Raw genomic sequence first — 18432 nt, forward strand, 5'->3', positions numbered from 1 at the left:
TCTGCCCCCCACCAATCTAAACACAGTTGAGGCCGGGCACGGTGGCTCACGCCTGTAATCCCAGCACTGTGGGAGGCCGAGGCGGTAGGATCACCTGAGGTCAGGAGTTCAAGACCAGCCTGGCCAACACGTTGAAACCCCGTCTCTACAAAAGTACAAAAATTAGCCCGGCATGATGATGGGTGTCTGTAATACAGCTACTCGGGAGGCTGAGGCACGAGAACCGCTTGAACCTGGGAGGCGGAGGTTGCAGTGAGCCGAGATCGCGCCACTACACTGCAGCCTGGGCGACAGAGCGAAACTCCATCTCAGGAAAATAAATAAATAAATAAATAAATAAATAAATAAATAAATAAAATCAGCCGGGCGTGGTGACGCCTGCCTGTAATCCAAGCTGCTCAGAAGGCCGAAGCAGGAGAATAGCCTGAGCCTGGGAGGCGGAAGTGGCAGTGAGCCGAGATCGCGCCACTGCACTCCAGCCTGGGCGACTTGAGTGAGACCCTGTCACAAAAAAAAAAAAAAAAAAAACCCAAAACCATTTCTTCCCGCAATCCCAGGGCACACACACTATAATCCTGCCTCAAATGCTCATTCCCAGTTATGAAACAGGGTACAGGCAAAACCACTCTGCCTAACAGTCACCCCGACGGCCGACGGCGAGGAATTGTGGAGGGGGCGGGGGAGAATTGCTCAGAACTTGGAAAGCGACTGGTCTCTCAGGATAGAGACCGCGACGCAAAGAAGTGACGGAAAAGATGCGTCCGCCATCCCTTTTGCTCCACCCCTGACGTTGGCCTCGGCCTTCGATTGGCTGCTCCTCCCACCAGCCCCGCCTCAGGGGCGCCCACGTGACCCGATGGCCGCCGTGGGATTGGTTGTTCGGCGAGAGCCGCGCTAGGCTGTAAGACCTGAGCCGGGCGGAGAAGCAAAGGAGAGGGAAGCTGGAAGCACCTTTGGCCCGGGACAGAAATCTGGAGAGCTTGGCTACCTCCATCCTCCTCAGGCCGGAGCAGGCTTCCTGAGAGAGTCCAGGTCGTAGGAGTTTTACGACTTAGAAAAGCGGGCTGCAGATTCCTTCCTGGGTGTTTGGTTCAAGCCTTGGCTCCAGCCTCACTCTCAGTCTTCCCGGGAGTTCGTGGGATTTGGACCTTAGATTATTAGTATTATTTTGAGGGCCTCCTGTGTGTAAGCACTGGTTGTGCGCAGATGGCTGTGCAGAGGGCCATGAGGTAGAGGCTGGGGAAATGAGGGCTTGGAGGTGCTTGAGGTATGGTCTTTACCTACGTGAAATGTTGGAGGTAAGTCGGATTTATAACTTGTGTTGATGCTTTTATAATCTAGGAGCTTAGGGTTTAGTAGGAAGAGTCGCTCATTCAATGAATTAAACGCTCATTCCTATGTACTAGGCACCATTCCGAGTGCAGTGGCTACAAAGACTAGTAGAACATAGTCCTGGTTCTTTAGGAACTCTGTGATTGGGCAAGTGGGAGAGAGGGCGGAAAACGTGAACTGGTGAGTAGTTGGCGTGTGATGCGTGCCGTAGTGGAAGAAAGTGCTGTGAGAGTTAGAAGAGGGGGATGATTGAAGGAATTAAGGACATTTAACAGAAAGTGATATTTGAGTAAAGTTTATTTTTGTTTTGTTTTTTTTTTTTTTTTGAGACGGGAGTCTCGCTCTGCCTCCCAGGTTGGAGTCCAGTGGCGCTATCTCGGCTCACTGCAACCGCCGCCTCCCGGGTTCAAGCAGTTCTCAGCCTCAGCCTCCCAAGTAGCTGGGATTACAGGCGCACACCACCACGCCCGGCTAATTTTTGCGTTTTTAGTAGAGATGGGGTTTCACCATGTTGGCCAGGCTGGTCTTGAACTCCTGACCTCGTGATCCACCCGCCTCGGCCTCCCAAAGTGCTGGGATTACAGGCCAAAGCCACCGCTCCCGGCCTTGAGTAAAGTTTAAAAAGTATACTTAGGGTGGGTATTTATCCCTCCATGAAAGCGCCTTTTACTCAGCCAGCACAGAGCCATCCCTTTGCCCTTCCAGATGCCTGACTGGGACCTTGCTTATGGATGTGTGAGCTTTTAATCTCTGGCTGTAATCTTACCCACTTCAACCTAAACTTGGAATGATTACTCTTGACCCTTTTTTTGAGTGATAAGGCAAATCTCCCCACACCTGGGCATTTTAAAGTTATATACTGTATGTTTAAATATCCCCCTTAAAAAGCCTGAGCTATATAACAATCTAGATGTGTCTATCTTACTCTTTTCCCACAAACTAAGAATCCAAATAATGTTAAAAATCTTTAAAAAAAAAAAAAAAAGTATACTCAGGTTTTCTCCCCATCGAAAGGGGTGGAGAAAGCACTCCAGGAACTAGGAAAATGTACCTGCCGCATGTGGCTGGAGCACATGGGAGGTTTGCCCAGCTGATGATGAAGCAGATAGGGAGTTCAACTTGTAAAGATCTTGAATTACATGGTAGTCTGGCTGTCTGGATCTTAAAATACAAAGTGAAATAGGTACCACAAAACAGGTATTAAGGTGCTTTCATAATTCAGAAGGAGGACAGATACTTCCTGTTGGATTGATGAAAAAAGGCTTCATGCAAAAGATGGCATTTTGAAGGGTTGCAAACTGCAGGGATAGGATTTTGAAGTACAGGAAGGATTTCTACACAGGGGGAAAGACTTTCTAGATGGAGGGCATAAGGTCAAATAGAGCCAATATGAGGACTAAGGAATAATCTGGGTTGATTAGACTGTAAGATATGTTTGGGGGCCCGGCACGGTGGCTCACACCTATAATCCCAGCACCTGGGAGGCCAAGGCAGGTGGATCACTTGAGGTCAGGAGTTTAAGACCAGTCTGGCCAACATGGCGAAACCCTGTCTCTACTAAAAATACAAAAATTAGTTGGGCATGGTGGCTCATGCCTGTAATCCCACCTACTTGGGAAGCTGAGGCAGGAGAATCGCTTGAACCCAGGAGGCTGAGTTTGCAGTGAGCTGAGATTGCACCACTGCACTGCAGCCTGGGCGACAGAGCGAGACTCTATCTCAAACAAACAAACAAACAAAAGACATGTTTGGGTTATTTATGGTGTATTTAAGGATAAATATTGGTCTGTTTTGAAACATCTTGATTGCTAAACAAAGTCGTTAGGACTTTATTTCCTAGACTATGGGGAGCAACTGAATGCTTGTGAGTAATCACACCTCCATATATAAGGGTTAGTATGTGTGTAAGATTCAAAGTACATTGGATGGGAGAGAAACTGGAGGCAGGAGGCCCATTGAGATAGCAGTATTGTCTGCCAGAAGGAACGTGGGTTTTAGAGCCAAGCACTCATTGGTTCAGAGCTTGGCTTTGCTCACAAGTTTCATTATTTTTGGCAGATTTATTTAAGTTATTAAGCTCTGATCTCTGTCTCAAAAGAGGGAAAGTAACTGATGAAGTGCCTGTTACACAATGGTTATGCTTGAATGCTTAAACAGAGGCTGAGGCCTCTGTTTTCTTTTTCTTTCTTTCTTTCTCTTTCTTTCTTTCTTTCTTTCTTTCTTTCTTTCTTTCTCTTTCTTTTTTTCCTTCTTTCCTTCTTTCCTTCTTTCCTTCCTTCCTTCTTTCCTTCCTTCCTTCTTTCCTTCTTTCTTTCTTTCTTTTTCTTTCTTTCTTTCTTTTTTTTTTTTTTTTTTGAGACAGGATCTCACTCTTGTCGCCCAGGCTGGAGTGCAGTGGTGCAATCTCAGCTCACTGCAACCTCCGCCTCCCAGGTTCAAGCTGTTGTCCTGCCTCAGCCTCTTGAGTAGCTGGCATTACAGGCGCCTGCCATCATGCCCGGCTAATTTTTGTACTTTTAATAGAGACGGGGTTTCGCCACGTTGGCCAGGCTGGTCTGGAACTCCTGGCCTCAGGGGACCTGCCTGCCTCGGCCTCCCAAAGTGCTGGGATTAGAGGTGCGAACCACTGCGCCTGACCTAGTTTTCCTCTTTATGGAGCTTAGTTGCTGAATAGTGAACACAGACCAATAGCTGTCAGTTTTAACTAGGGAATATCAGTCTATTGATGTTTATAGATGGCTGAAGGCAGTATATGGTGGCCCCAGAATTTTAGATACTGACAATATCATTTTGAAAGTCTGGAGAGGCCAGGTGCGGTGGCTCATGCCTGTAATCCCAGCACTTTCAGAGGCCGAGGTGGGCAGATCACTTGAAGTCAGGAGTTCAAGACCAGCCTGGCCAACATGGCAAAACCCCATTTCTACTGAAAATGCAAAAATTAGCTAGGCCTGGTTGTGCATGCCTGTAATCCCAGCTACCTGGGAGGCTGAGGTGGGAGGACTGCTTGAACCCAGGAGGCAGAGGCTAAAGTGAGCTGAGATAGTGCCACTGCATTCCAGCCTGGGTGACAGAGTGAGAATCTGTCTCAAAAAATAAAGAGGCCAGGCGCGGTGGCTCACGCCCATAATCCCAGCACTTTGGGAGGTTGAGGTGGGTGGATCACAAGGTCAAGAGTTCAAGACCAGCCTGGCCAATATGGTGAAAGCCCATCTCTACTAAAAAGTGCAAAAATTAGCTGGGTGTGGTGGTGCACGCCTGTAGTCTCAGCTACTCGGGAGGCTGAGGCAGGAGAATCACTTGAACCCGGGAGGTAGAGGTTGCAGTGAGCCGAGATTGTGCCACCGCACTCTAGCCTGGGTGACAGAGTGAGGGAGTGGAGTGGAGTGGAGGTCAGGTTTCTCATTCACAAATTGATTTTTCAGATTGTGAATTACCCATGCTTTGCCCTGCTTTATCTTCCATGTCCTTCCTCATTAGTAAATCTAAAGGTAGTACCCTAGAGAAAAATGAAATTGAACCTTTTATTTAGTTGCTACTGAAAAAATATAAATCTGGTAATCATACCTCAAGTTCTCTTTCCAGCTCTGCAGTTAATTTCCTATGGATCTTCGGCAAATCATAGCCTCTCTGGGTTCTTGGACTCTTCAGATAAAAGATTCTAGTTTAAAAACTTTTATGACTATAATTTTAATCTTTGTTGGCAGAAGAATTATAAATCAAATTGCATATTAAATGAACTGGAGTTTATAAAGAAATTTAGTAGAAAATCTTTTCTAGGCCCGGTGTGGTGGCTCACGCCTGTAATCCCAGCACTTTGGGAGGCCAAGGCTGGCAGATCACTTGAGGTCAGGAGTTCAAGACCAGCCTGGCCAACATGGTGAAACCCCATCTCTACTAAAAATACAAAAATTAGCTGGGCGTGGTGGCACATGCCTGTAGTCCCAGCTATTTGGGAGGCTGAGGCTGCAGTGAGCCGAGATTGCGCCACTGCACTCCAGCCTGGGCGACACAGTGAGACTCCATTTCAAAAAAAAAAATATTTTCTAGGCCAGGTACAGTAGCTCACACCTGTAATCCAGCACTTTGGAAGGCCAAAGAGGGAAGATCACTTGAGCCCAGCAGTTTGAGACCACCCTGGGCAACATGGCAAGACTCTGGGCGTGGTGGTGCTCACCTGAGATGTCAGCTACTCAGAAGGCTGGGGTGGGAGGATTGCTTGAGCCCAGCAGTTTGAGGCCACAGTGAGCCATGATCGTGCCACTGCACTCCAGGCTAGGTGACAGGGCAAGACCCTGTCTCCAGAAAAAATAAAGAAATTTTTAAAAAGAAAATATATTTTCTAAAGCTTTTGCTTTTGAACTAGGCTAAGGGCAGGCTTATGGGCTCAAGCCTGTGATCCCAGGGTTTTGGGAGGCCAAGGCAGGAGGATCACTTGAAGCCAGGAGTTTGAGACCAGCCTGGGAAACATACCGAGACTCTTGTCTCTACAAAAATTTAAAAAGAATTAGCCAGGGATGGTGGACATGCACCTGTAGTCCTAGCTACCTGGTTGGATCACCTGAGCCCAGGAGTTTGAGGCTACAGTGAGCCATGATCACACCACTGCACTCCAGCCTGGTTGACAAGAGTGAAACCTTGTCTCAAAATAAAAATATATATATATATTAATTGAAAACAGGCCAGGCATGGTGGCTCACGCCTGTAATCCGCGCACTTTGGGAGGCTGGAGAAGGTGGATTGCTTGAGTCCAGGAGTTTGAGAACAGCCTGGACAACATGGTAAAACCCTGTCTCTACAAAAAGTACAAAAATTAGCCAGATATGGTGGCCTGTGACTGTAGTCCCAGCTACTTGGGAGGCTGAGGTGGGATGATCGTCTGAGCCTGGGGAGGTTGAGACTGCAGTGAGCCATGATCAGGCCATTGCACTCCAGCCTGGGTGACAGAGTAAGACCCTGTCTTAAAAAAAAAAAGAAAGAAAGAAATATTAATTAGAAACCCATGGTTGAAACTTACCTGAATAGAAGGCTTTATTTTTTTTCATAGGTAAGCCTATGTTTTCTTGGATGTGAAACTAGGGCACTGGGTTGCTCTTAGGTAATACAAGGAGATGAAATGCAGCGATGCGATGATGAGTGAAGTAGAGCCTGACCTGGTATTGCCATTGCTTCACTGTTGGCTTTGACCAGGGTATGATCTCTTAATCTTCTCTCTGAGCTGATTCTGATTGTGGTTTTTCCACACAGGTGTGTTGTATCCTGTTTGGACACTGGTTTTATTATGTTTAAGATGTTTCTTTTATTTTCTTTTGAATTACTGATATTCTCATGTTTTCCTCCTTAGGTTGAGATGAAAACTCTTGCTTTGAATTCTTCATGGAGGACTACATCATTTCAATCCTGAATCTGGCTCAATTCTATTATTCACTTATTACTGTATTAAAAACGTTTAATTGGCCAGGCACAGTGGTTCACGCCTGTAATCCCAGCACTTTGGGAGGCCAAGGCAGGCGGATCACTTGAGGTCAGGAGTTCGACACCAGCCTGGCCAACATGGCAAAACCCCGCCTCTACTAAAAATACAAAAATTAGCCAGGCGTGGTGGCACGCACCTGTAATCACAGCTACTTAGGAGGCTGAGGTGGCAGAATTGTTTGAACCCAGGAGGTGGAGGTTGCAGTGAGCCGAGATCACACCACTGCACTCAAGCCTTGGCATCAGAGTGAGACTCTGTCTCAGTAAAAAAAAAATAAATAAATAAAAATGTTTAATTAACCATGATATTTGCTTTGGTAAAACCTTTGAGGTTTAATGAGAATTTTAAAATTCATTATACTTTTCTTATGGCATATAAAAGTTTTAATTTTTTTTATTGTCTCAACTAACATCATAAATGTCTTAATGTTAAAATCCATGGGATATTCTATTTAAAATTTTAGCTTTATCACCTTTGTGCTATCAGAGAATGTGCTTTGAACTGGTAAAATGAGTTAAAGTATTGGAAAACACTTATGTCAGCAGAGGCTCTTAAAAATCATTTTCATCCTTCCTCTTCTAGTGATGATTTTTTTTTAACCCATGTTTTCACCAGTCTACCAATCCAATGGCATAAATGCTCCTACATAGGCAACTTAAGTGTTTCTTAAGTTGATGCAAGGTATTTTGCATGAGGCTGAATTCTTGTTGTCGGAGCAGAGGATTTTTGTTCCAACTACTGAATTGGCAAAATGTTAAATATAAAAACACCTCAAAAAGTCAAAGGTAGTCTGAATGAAAAATTTATTTTAAACACCTCAAGTAATCTTTACATTTCTACAAAATCATAACATAGTTCTTTTCCAGAAACATTTATTCTTAAAATCTACTTAAGTGTTTCATAGAAACTTTAGTAATAACCAGAATAATTCATGACACTTTAGCAAACTCTTAGCAGCAAGCAGAAAGAACTTATTAAAATATCCTTTCTTTACACAATTAGATTAGTATTTTGCTTCATGTCTTCATTGCTTGTTAGCTTTGCTTTTACACAGGAATCTTCAGACTACTCTCTGTAACACTCAACCCCTATTCCTTTTTTAACCAGTTTCTCAAGAAGGATATGGAGAGCTCATAAAGGAATATCCTCAAATATCCTAAATATCCAACTTTTAAAATACCTTTTTTATCCTTAAAAGCTGATAAACAATAGATGTCACTTAACAAATGTCTCACAGTATATGGAAGGAGCTTTTTTCCCCCCCAGAGTGTTTCTAAGCATTTCTATCAAGAGCAAGTCTGCATTTCTTATCGTTTGCAAACTGATGAAATTTCCACCTTACAGACAGGCAGGTAAATGCTTTCTTTTCTAAAAAGAAGTCTTGCTACCACCTCACTGTTCACTTTATTTTTTATGCGGTCTAACCTGGGTTTTTCGTAAGAGCTCCTTTATTTCTTATATTTTAAGGAAAGGGATAGGCAAAAACTTGTGTACTCATTATTCTGTTTAATCTCTACACTGGCCCTCATATCCCCTGCCAGTCCTGATCCTTCTACTTTAAGCAGCTTGGTCAACTGTAAGTAGGGTTCTAGAGAGCAGGCTAAAAGGTTAGGATCAAATGGGCATATCCTTTTAAAGAAATCCATATAATCATTTAAAGTTCATATAGTTATGAATTGAGGCTGAGAAGTGTCAACTCAATACCATGCTGAAACCAGCTCTGTGACATTACAGCGCAATACTTTTGTTGTGAGGATAAGACATGATTCCCTTTCAGTTCTCAGGGGAGTAGAGTTTAATCAGATGTTGTACTTCTGTTGGATAACCTGTGATGGGACAAGCTTGGTGACTCCTCACATAATGAAACACACAGCGGTAACAAAACACATAGCCAGAGGTGGCAAGAACAGTATCATTCACCCGGGTTTTACGACACAGTGGGCACACAGTCTTCATTTTGGGTAAGAGGGGAGAATCAGAGTTATAGTCTAGGTGTACAGGTGGTGGTGGAGTAGGCAGGGCAGTCAATGACTTGATGGTTTCTTGATTTTCAGATGAGTACCACCAGTCAAGGAACTGCAAGAAGAATACACCCACAGAAAGGCCAGTAGACAGGGATAAGGCAACACCCCCAACAGCTTTCTTCAGAGCTGAGTTTATCTTCTCACTAACACTGTTGGGAGAAAAGAACAAGGAGGCAAAGAGAGAAACTTTATTTAGGTATCATTACAAAGTGACTAATATAAATGCAATTCTTACATTTTTCATCAGAATCACTGGGGGACTGAATGGTTGGTAGACTGGTACTATCTCCTTAAGGATCTATTCTAAGTGATTCTAACTTACAATATTTTAGGAGCATAGGAGCTAAGCTTTGTTTTTAGTAACATGATTAGGGTTTGGTTTTGTGTTTTGAAAGATAAATCAGAGAATTTGATTATATAGACCTCCCTTTTTTTAGTGGAAGATAGTGATCCAGAAAAAAAAAAAAAAACCCAATTCACTTAATAAAAAACTTAGCAGTATTGAGGAATGTATATATTTGAACTTGTAGGAGAACACAAATATGAACTAGAAGGAGCACAGCATCATGATTAAGAGCACAGTCTTAGGCTGGGTGCAGTGGCTCACAGAGCACAGTCTTTAGAATTGTATTGGTTTGGTTTGAATCCCAGCTCTGCCACCTTCTATGTACCTACGTGACTTTGGCAAGGTACTTAACTGCTTGGGTTTAGTTTCCTCAACTGTGAGCTAATACATTTACTTCATTGGGTTGTGTTGAGGATTGAGATAATGTACGTAAAGCAAGCACCTAGCACAGGGCCTGGGACATAGCAAGTATGCACTAAAGTATACCTAGAATGATGAAGGTTACCAGGATGACAGTCCTTGTTTTATGGACACAAGGAATAGCTTTTCTATGACTCTATGAAATGCCACAAAGTTAACAGGGAGGTGAATTTTACAAAACTGGGATACGATTTTCGAATTTACTAACTAAAGATCTTTTGGAAATGTTAAGGCCTTACCTCCTGGCTGGTTGCTGCATCATGCTGGCCTTAGCTGGTTTGTGCTCCAGAGCTTGTATATCCTGAACTGTCAGTCGACCTAGCTGAACTCCAGCCAGCCTCAGCAGTGGTGAGTGATGCTGAGCTTTTCCTAGGATGTATCGAAGTTGTTGTACAAGAAACCATCCTTCCCAGGCCATGTTCACAAATGGGTAGGCTGCCAGGAAAGCTCTGTAAAATCGTTTCCAGCGGGAAGAAGGGGGATGAATAGAATATTCATCCTCTTCTCTCAGGCTAGAAACCAGCTTCTCCAGCTTCACTTTCAGATAGGGAAGAAGAACCAGGAACATAATAGATTTCCAAAGCTGCTGCTTTGGGAGACCAGCACTAGCCAATCTCTGAGACTTGTGAGTGTCCCCCATTACAATTCTCTTTAAGCCGTAAAAGTTTTCAGAAAATGAGGCACTGGTTCTAGACAGATAATGTTGCTGGAGCAGAAGATCTAGCAGAGTAAAGATTTCATCAAACCACCTCCACAAGAAGCCATAGTGGGTGGGATTTGATTCTGCAAGAACCTAAAGCAAAATAAAGCAATAAGTGAAATTCATTCCATTACACAAGTTCTACACCTATTTACATTCCCCCTTTTCCTCTAAAGTCTACACAATTTGTTTTAAATAAGTCACTGTTGGACCCTGAAATGCTGGGTATTCAGTACAGGTCTCTACACATAACAGAGACTCAGTAACTCTTAAGTCATGGGATACAAGTTATTTGCAAATTGGCTATTTCAAACGCTAGGCTACCAAATAAGCACAAATTATTCGTTTGTTTTTTACCCAGTTGTCCCTAAAACCTTTCCAAGAATTAATACCTTACCTTGACCACATGCTGAAGAGCGGGTCTCACTGCTGTCATTAAACTGTCCTGTGCTACCACCTCAAAGATGGATGGCTGGTCATCGGCCACAGAAGCAGCTGTGAAGTGAGCCCCGTGCTCAGCCATAGTTTCCTGCGTGTACTGGCTTTCACTTTTCCCACAAACTCTCTCGTGAGCATGAACTTTTTCGGGAGGAAGAGTATCAGATGGGTGCTCAGTCTTAAAGGTAAACTTTCTGCATGATATCTGAAACTCGAAACTCAATCTTATGGGCAAAAATGAACTGGGAAAAAAAGACCTGGAGGCCGAGGGTAGTCTCAAGAAGGTTAAGAACAAAGTTAACTCGGACGTGGGTGGAAGTAGTATGTGGCGAGGGGGTAACTTGTCAAATGCTGCACGTCAGGGCAGAGCGTGACTGTGGGGGACAGGTATGGGGGAAGGAACGCAATCCTCTGGAGCTGCGAACCAGAAACGCCCCCTCCTCCCCAATCGTGAGAGCTCAAAAGCCAGCCGACTCTGAGGATTCAGTCGTGCCACTGTGAGCCCGGGACACAAGGGCTGACTCCAGCTGTTGGCTTTGAGTATCCCCGCCCGCGCCCGTCCTTGCTCGCTGACCCCAGGCGAGGCGCAAACAACCCACGACGCCACGTTTGAAGGGAGGTCTCCGCTTTATGACAGAAGCCGCACCCGGAAATGAAACCACCAGGACCTCTGGGATGCCTGGCGGAAGAGAGGCGCTCTAGTTCCGAATGCGGTCCGGAAACCAGAACTAGAGAACTCTATGACCCACCTGAGCTTCCGCTCCCGCCCCGCTGAAACAGAAGAGGGCCCTTGTGGGCTGGTTTTGGCTAGTTTGGTTTACTTTTCGTAGCTGGGTCTGCATGGTAGCCTCGCTGGAAAGCTACAGCTCTGAACCTCTCTCTGCGAGGTCTTTTTGACAAGCTGTTTGGGGCACCGCGCAGACGTCTGGCGCCGGGAGCCAGAGCTCGGGCCCGTTGCTGAGCCCTGTGTTCCTGCAGGCGATGAAGCTAGGGGCGGTGGGAGGAAGGGAATCTGGAGGTGGAAAGGACTTTGCTGTACGCGTGCGGCAGGGATGGTGGTTAATTTATATGTCTTAGCCTTCCAGAAATGATTTAAAGCGACATAGCAGGAGATAGGAGCCTTAGATTTATTGCCGCCAATTATAAGGAAAGATGATTGGATTGAGAAAGGTTCATGCTTGTTCCTCAGTACTTGAGACGGTTAATTTTCATCCAAGCTGGTAGTTTAACGTCTTCCAGGTTTTGGCTATATTCAAGCATAACTGCATGCACTTGCTATACTGGATGAAAATGGTCTCCATCCTTGAACACAGTTGTATATGTCACCACCAGCGATATGAATACAGTACTAACGCAGAGGGAGCTTTATGAATTGTAACTAGCATGCACTGGGGACACTTGACAGAAAGTTTCCTTTCATGCCGTTTTTATACCAAAATGAATGTGATTTACCTTAAGGTTTGTAAAGTGCTTTTATGTTATGTACAGCTTTGTCTCGCTGAAGTTGGCTGACACAGCCTTATTGAATTTGGATGAGAGTTCCACCTCTCCTCCCTTCCTCTGGGAAGTGCCACCTCTGGGCTAAATAGCTGGGAATAGAAGGTATTGTTTACTGCCCTAGAGGCCCTTATGTTATAAAAATAATTGGTTTGCATAATGAGAACCCTCAAAAACAAGGTTTGGATTTAGTTATTCCAATAGGAGAGAAAACCTTACAAATTGTCCTTAATTATAGTTATAAAAAGTGTTTTTTACTCTACCAAAAGACATTATATTGATATATGATTTTTACCTTACAGAGTTTTAAGACTAGACATAGTTTATCCATATGAAGCACCTGGATACATATTAGGTGCTTGTTTAATAGTAACTGTTATGTACAAGCTTTTCTTAAGTGAATAGCAAAAATACAAAGTTGAGAGGTAGCATCAACTAAATCAAGCAGGAAATTAAACATTTTTGTCACTTAGGGATCTTTGGTTACAAGCAACAGAAACAAACAGGCTAATTTAAACTAAAACGGAATTTATTAGAAGTGTATGGAGTAGCTCACAAAATAAGTAAAGCCAGCCCTGAAAGAACAGGAACTTAACAATACTATTGGGACTGCCTAACAGGAATTAGAAGTTCTTATCCAGGCAACGTTGTTGCAGTGAACGAGCTTCCACCAATTTCTGTTTGTGACTCTGCTCGTGATACAAATTTTGACTGACCTCTCTTGGTTCAAGTTCCCTCTCCACCCTGTCTTTCACTCTTAGCCAGGGGAAGGCAGGATGTCTTGATTGATAGTCCCATGGAAGTACTCCAAAAGTTAACTAAACGTATGGCATAAGAACGCCTATAATCCCAGCACTTTGGGAGGCCGAGGCGGGTGGATCACCTGAGGTCAAGAGGTCATGACCAGCCTGACCAACATGGAGAAACCCAGTCTGTACTAGAAATACAAAAAATTAGCTGGGTGTGGTGGCACATACCTGTAATCCCAGCTACTCGGGAGGCTGAGGCAGGAGAATCGCTTGAACCCTGGAAGCGGAGGTTGTGGTGAGCCGAGATTGCACCATTGCACTCCAGCCTGGGTAACTGAGCGAGACTCCATCTCCAGAAAAAAGAAAAGAAAAAGGAAAGGTAGGGCCTGGTATGGTGGCTCATACCTGTAATCCCAGCACTTTGGGAGGCTGAGACGGGTGGATCACGAAGTCAGGAGTTTGAGACCGGCCCAGCCGACATGGTGAAAACCCATCTCTACTAAAAATACAAAAATTAGCTTGGAATGATGGTGCATGGTGGTGGATGTCTGTTATCCCAGCTACTCTGGAGGCTGAGGCAGGAGAATCACTTGAACCCGGGAGGTGGAGGTTGCAGTGAGCCGAGGTCACACCACTGCACTCCAGCCTGGGGGACAGAGTGAGACTCTGTCTCAAAAAAAAAAAGAAAACAGAAATTTGCAACTCGAATAAGAGGTCTGGGAGGCCCAAATCTTTTAGACGTGATAATCGGAATGCCCTTCTGAGGACATAACAAAGGCCTAAATTATGAGGAGCCAGCCATATGAGGAGTTGGGGAAAAGAATATTAGGCAGAAGGAAGAGTATTGTGAAGACCCTAAGGTGGGAAAGAGCTTGGTGTGTTTGAGGGCTATTATAACTGGCAAAAGGTGAAATGATGAGGAAATGAGCAGTAACTGAAAAGCACAAAATGATGTTAGAGAGGTAGACAGGCCAAACCATGCAGGGACTCACAGGCCATGGGAACAACCCTGGATTTTAGCCCAAGTGCAATGGGAAGCCAATGAAGGATTCACACACCAGAGATGTGTGATCAGGTATATATATAAACAAATATATATATATATATATATATATATATATATATATATATATACAAATATATATATAATATATACAAATATATATAATATATATACAAATATATATAAAATATATATACAAATATATATAAAAATATATATACAAATATATAATATATACAAATATATATAATATATAATAAATAAAATATATAAATATATAATATATATTTATATATTTGTATATATTATATATTTGTATATATATTTGTGTATATATACATATATTAAAAAATATATATATATATATTTTTTTTTTTTTGAAACAGAGTTTTACTCTTGTTGCCCAGGCTGGAGTGCAATGGCATGATGACTCACTGCAACCGCCGCCTCCTGTGTTCAAGCGATTCTCCTGCCACGGCCTCCCAAGTAGCTGGGATTACAGGCGCCCGCCAACATGCCCGGCTAATTTTTGTATTTTTAGTAGAGATGGGGTTTCACCATGTTGGCCAGGCTGGTCTTGAACTCCTGGCCTTGTGATCTGCCCACCTTGGCCTCCCAAAGTGCTAGGATTACAGGCGTGAGCCACCGTGCCTGGCCAGGTTTATATTTTTTTAAAGATGTCTCTGATGGTTTTGTGGGTATGCAGTATTTATATCAAGCTTTACATTTATGATATATGCACATTTTTGTTTTTGTTTTTGTTTTCTTGAGATAGAGTCTGGCTCTGTAGCCCAGGCTGGAGTGCAGTGGCACAGTCTCGGCTCACTGCAACCTCCACCTCCCGGGTTCAAGTGATTCTCCCACCTCAGACCCCCCGGAGTAGCTGGGACTACATGCATGTGCCACCACACCCGGCTAATTTTTGTATTTTTAGTAGAGACAGGGTTTTGCCATGTTGGCCAGGCTGGTCTCAAACTCCTGGCCTCAAGTGATCCCCCTGCCTCAGCCTCCCAAAGTGCTGGGATTACGGGTGTGAGCCACCACATCAGGCCAGATATGCACATTTTTAAATGTATGTTATACATCCAAAAAAGTTAAACAACCTGGCCACTACGTGGAGAATGGTAGAGAGAAGACTTATAGCCTTCTAATAGTCTAGGCAAAAGGTGATGGTGGATTTATGAGATTGAATAGAGGGAGTTGGATGGCTTGGAGTTGTTGTTTTTTTTTTTTTTTTTTTTTTTTTTGAGACAGTCTTGCTCTGTTGCCCAGGATGGAGTGCAGTGGCGCAATCTCGGCTCACTGCAACCTCTGCCTCCCGGGTTCAAGCAGTTCTGTACCTCAGCCTCCCGAGTAGCTGAGATTACAGGCGCCCACCACAACGCCTGGCTAATTTTAGTAGAGACGGGGTTTCATCATCTTGGCCAGGCTGGTCACGAACTCCTGACTTTGTGATCCACCTGCCTTGGCCTCCCAAAGTGCTGGGATTACAGGTGTGAGCCACAGCGCCCAGCTACGGCTTTGAGATTTTAAAGGTAGAATTGACAACTGGAGATGGATTGGATGTGGCAGTTGAAGGAAAGGGAAATCAGGAATGACCCCTAGGTTTCTGGCTTGAGCAGCTCAGTGCAATTTATTAAAATAATCACAATTACAGGAAATAGTTCCATAGTCCATGCTATATGCCAGCCATAGTTCTAAGTGCTTTACATTTAATTTATTTCATTGTTCAATATTATGATTAGATGTTACTATCTTCCTCCATTTTATAGATGAGAAAACCAAAGAAAGCACATAGATGGAGGAAACTGGGGGAAGAATAGCTTTCAAACATGTTAGGCAATGAGAAGTTGATGAAAGTTTTTGAACAGCAGAGAGGTATGAATCAAAGCTCTTAAATATTTTTCTTTTTCTTTTTTTTTCCTTTTCCTTTTTTTTTTTTTTTTTTTTTTTTTTTTTTTTTTTTTTTTTGAGATGGAGTCTTACTTTATTGCCCAGGCTGCAGTGTAGTGGTGTGATTTCGGCTCACTGCAACCTCCTCCTCTCAGGTTCAAGTAATTCTCCTGCCTCAGCCTCCCTAGTACCTGAGACTACAGGCATGTGCCACCATGCCTGGCTAATTTTTGTATTTTTAGTAGAGTCAGGGTTTTACCATGTTGGCCAGGCTGGGCTCAAAGTCCTGACCTCAGGTGATCCACCTGCCTTGGCCTCCCAAAGTGCTGTGATCACAGGCGTGAGCCACCACGGCCAGCCTCTTGAAGATTTTTCTAATGACATCTTTACGAAATCTACCTCTGTCTGCTAGCAGTTGTACCTTGAACGAGTTTTTTCTCTCTCTCTCTCTCTCTCTCTCTCTCTCTCTCTCTCTCTTTCTTTTTAGAGACGGTCTCACTCTGTCACCCAGGCTGGAGTGCAGTGGCATGATCATGGCTCACTACAGCCTCAAACTCTTGGGCTCAAGTGATCCTCCCACCTCAGCCTCCCAAAGTGCTGGGATCATAGGTGTAAACTGCTGTGCCCAACTCTGTAACCAGGTTTTTCTAACCTCCTCCATTCCTTATGATTTAACCCAGCAGTATAGTTATCGATTTGGTGATGAAATTTGGGGAATAGGTCTAGGCTAGAGATAAGAGATTTTGGAGCCATATATGTAAGAAAGATAATTAAAACCATGGTATGCTAAAGGGTTAGTGTAGAGAAAATGTATGAGTATAGAACTAAACTTGAAAAAATTGGCTGAGTTTGGTGGCTCATGCCTATAATCCCAGCATTTGGGGAGGCCAAGGCAGGAGGATCACTTGAGCCCAGGAGTTGCAGACCAGCCTGGGCAACATGGCAAGACCCCCTCTCTACAAAAAAAGAAAATTAGCTAGGCGTGGTGACACATGCCTGTAGTCGCAGCTACTTGGGAGGCTAGGTAGGAGGATTGCTTGAGCCTGGGAGGTCAAGGCTGCAGTGAATTGTAATGGCACCACTGCACTCCAGCCTGGGCAACAGTGCAACACCCTGCCTCAAGAAAGAAAAAATCCTTGCCACTGTTTTCCTCAGATACCATTTCTGCTTTCTTTGGTCATACTTTCTTATGAGTTATCTGCAACTCCTGTTTTTATTTCCTCATTTCTAATCCATCCTCAAACATCTGCAGTATGACTTTTGCCTTCATATCTCTACTGATTTCTCAGCAATAACATCAAATACCTCCATGTTACTAAATCCTGTAGACACTTTTTAGCCCTTCTCCTGTCTATGGCAACTAATATTGTTGATCACTTATTTATGCGTTTAGTCAACATATATTAATTTGTGTGTGTGTGTGTGATGGGGCTAGCCTCATGTGTGCAAGAGTGAACAGATTGGTATAGTCCCTACTTTCATGAAACTCTGAAAACATCCTAAAATATACTATTCTGCTTTTCCTCCTACCTCTCTGACTACTCCTTCTCAGTCCTCTTTGCATTCTTGGGTTTATCTGTTTCTACCCCAAGCACTCACTCTCCACATTCTTCATGAATAATGTTCATGCCCACAGATTGAATTATCATCTGTATGCTCACAGTTCACAAATTTAACTCCAGATCATTCCTTATCTTCAGACACATATAATCAAGTACCTCTTGGGTAGAGATCTTCACTCTAACCTAACGTATAAAATGAACTCATCACCTCCCTATTCTTCCCCAAACTTCTGCCATTTCTTATATTTTCCTATTTTCAGTGACTAGTACCACCGTTCCTCCCTTGCCCTAACCTAAAACATAAGCCTTATCAGCCCTAGTGTCAGACTTCCTGGGTTCAAATCTTAATTCTACCTTTGTGTGTGTGTATGTGTGTGTGCGTGTCTGTGTGTGTGACTGCAAGCTCCGCCTTCCAGGTTCATGCCATTCTCCTGCCTCAGCCTCCTGAATAGCTGGGACTATAGGCGCCCGCCACCACGCCCTGCTACTTTTTTTTTGTATTTTTAGTAGAGATGAGGTTTCACCATGTTAGCCAGGATGGTCTCGATCTCCTGACCTCGTGATCTGCCCGCCTCAGCCTCCCAAAGTGTTGGGATTACAGGCGTGAGCCACCGCGCCCAGCCATCTTAATTCTACCTTTTAACTTCTCTGTATCTCTTAAAATAGAGGAAGTAATAGTACCTACTTGGTTATCAGGTGGTGCGGATGTAAAAATGTACTTAGCAGAGTAACTGACATAAAATCATAATAAATATCAACAGTTATTTGTTTAAACCACCATCATCGTGTGGCTGGATCATGTCAACAGTTTCCTGAGTGGTCTCCCATTAGATTATGAGCCCGTGATGGTCCCAAAAGGTGAAAAGAAGGGAGATTGGTCCATACTTTCACCCAAAAGTGGAAGAGAATGAAGTTGGAAAAGCTTTCGGATTGATGCTATATTTTGAAAATAGTATTGGTTCATTTTTCCTTAAAATATATGCATTTTTCAGAGA

The 18432-nt window shown here is 43.7% G+C and overlaps 1 protein-coding gene, 1 long non-coding RNA gene and 1 other non-coding gene across 3 annotated transcripts, besides 3 other annotated features; 2 read left to right on the forward strand and 1 right to left on the reverse strand.

Annotated features, from left to right (window-relative positions):
- Nucleotides 265–947: an enhancer, noted in NCBI's record as "H3K27ac-H3K4me1 hESC enhancer chr17:33894487-33895169 (GRCh37/hg19 assembly coordinates)". NCBI's record gives its function as "activates a minimal SCP1, AML or CMV promoter by ChIP-STARR-seq in primed H9 embryonic stem cells {active_cell/tissue: H9 hESC(primed)}" and the evidence as "EXISTENCE:reporter gene assay evidence [ECO:0000049][PMID:30033119]".
- Nucleotides 648–777: an enhancer, noted in NCBI's record as "active region_12076". NCBI's record gives its function as "activates an Ori minimal core promoter by ATAC-STARR-seq in GM12878 lymphoblastoid cells {active_cell/tissue: GM12878}" and the evidence as "EXISTENCE:reporter gene assay evidence [ECO:0000049][PMID:35858748]".
- Nucleotides 911–7110, forward strand: SNHG30 (small nucleolar RNA host gene 30). The gene is made up of 2 exons (NR_135479.1): nucleotides 911–1298; nucleotides 6674–7110. It is a non-coding gene; the product is annotated as a small nucleolar RNA host gene 30 (long non-coding RNA).
- SNORD7 (small nucleolar RNA, C/D box 7) lies at nucleotides 6454–6550 on the forward strand. The gene has a single exon (NR_003037.1). It is a non-coding gene; the product is annotated as a small nucleolar RNA, C/D box 7 (small nucleolar RNA).
- Nucleotides 7592–11368, reverse strand: PEX12 (peroxisomal biogenesis factor 12). The gene is made up of 3 exons (NM_000286.3): nucleotides 10693–11368; nucleotides 9835–10388; nucleotides 7592–8978 (listed from the first exon to the last, which is right to left on the reverse strand). Exons 1-3 carry the CDS (start codon nucleotides 10816–10818, stop codon nucleotides 8579–8581), a joined length of 1080 nt encoding a protein of 359 aa, NP_000277.1. The 5' UTR covers nucleotides 10819–11368; the 3' UTR covers nucleotides 7592–8578.
- Nucleotides 10632–11447: an enhancer, noted in NCBI's record as "H3K27ac hESC enhancer chr17:33904854-33905669 (GRCh37/hg19 assembly coordinates)". NCBI's record gives its function as "activates a minimal SCP1, AML or CMV promoter by ChIP-STARR-seq in naive H9 embryonic stem cells {active_cell/tissue: H9 hESC(naive)}" and the evidence as "EXISTENCE:reporter gene assay evidence [ECO:0000049][PMID:30033119]".

Source organism: Homo sapiens, chromosome 17 (assembly GCF_000001405.40).
Source record: "Homo sapiens chromosome 17, GRCh38.p14 Primary Assembly".
Classification (NCBI taxonomy): Eukaryota; Metazoa; Chordata; class Mammalia; order Primates; family Hominidae; genus Homo; species Homo sapiens.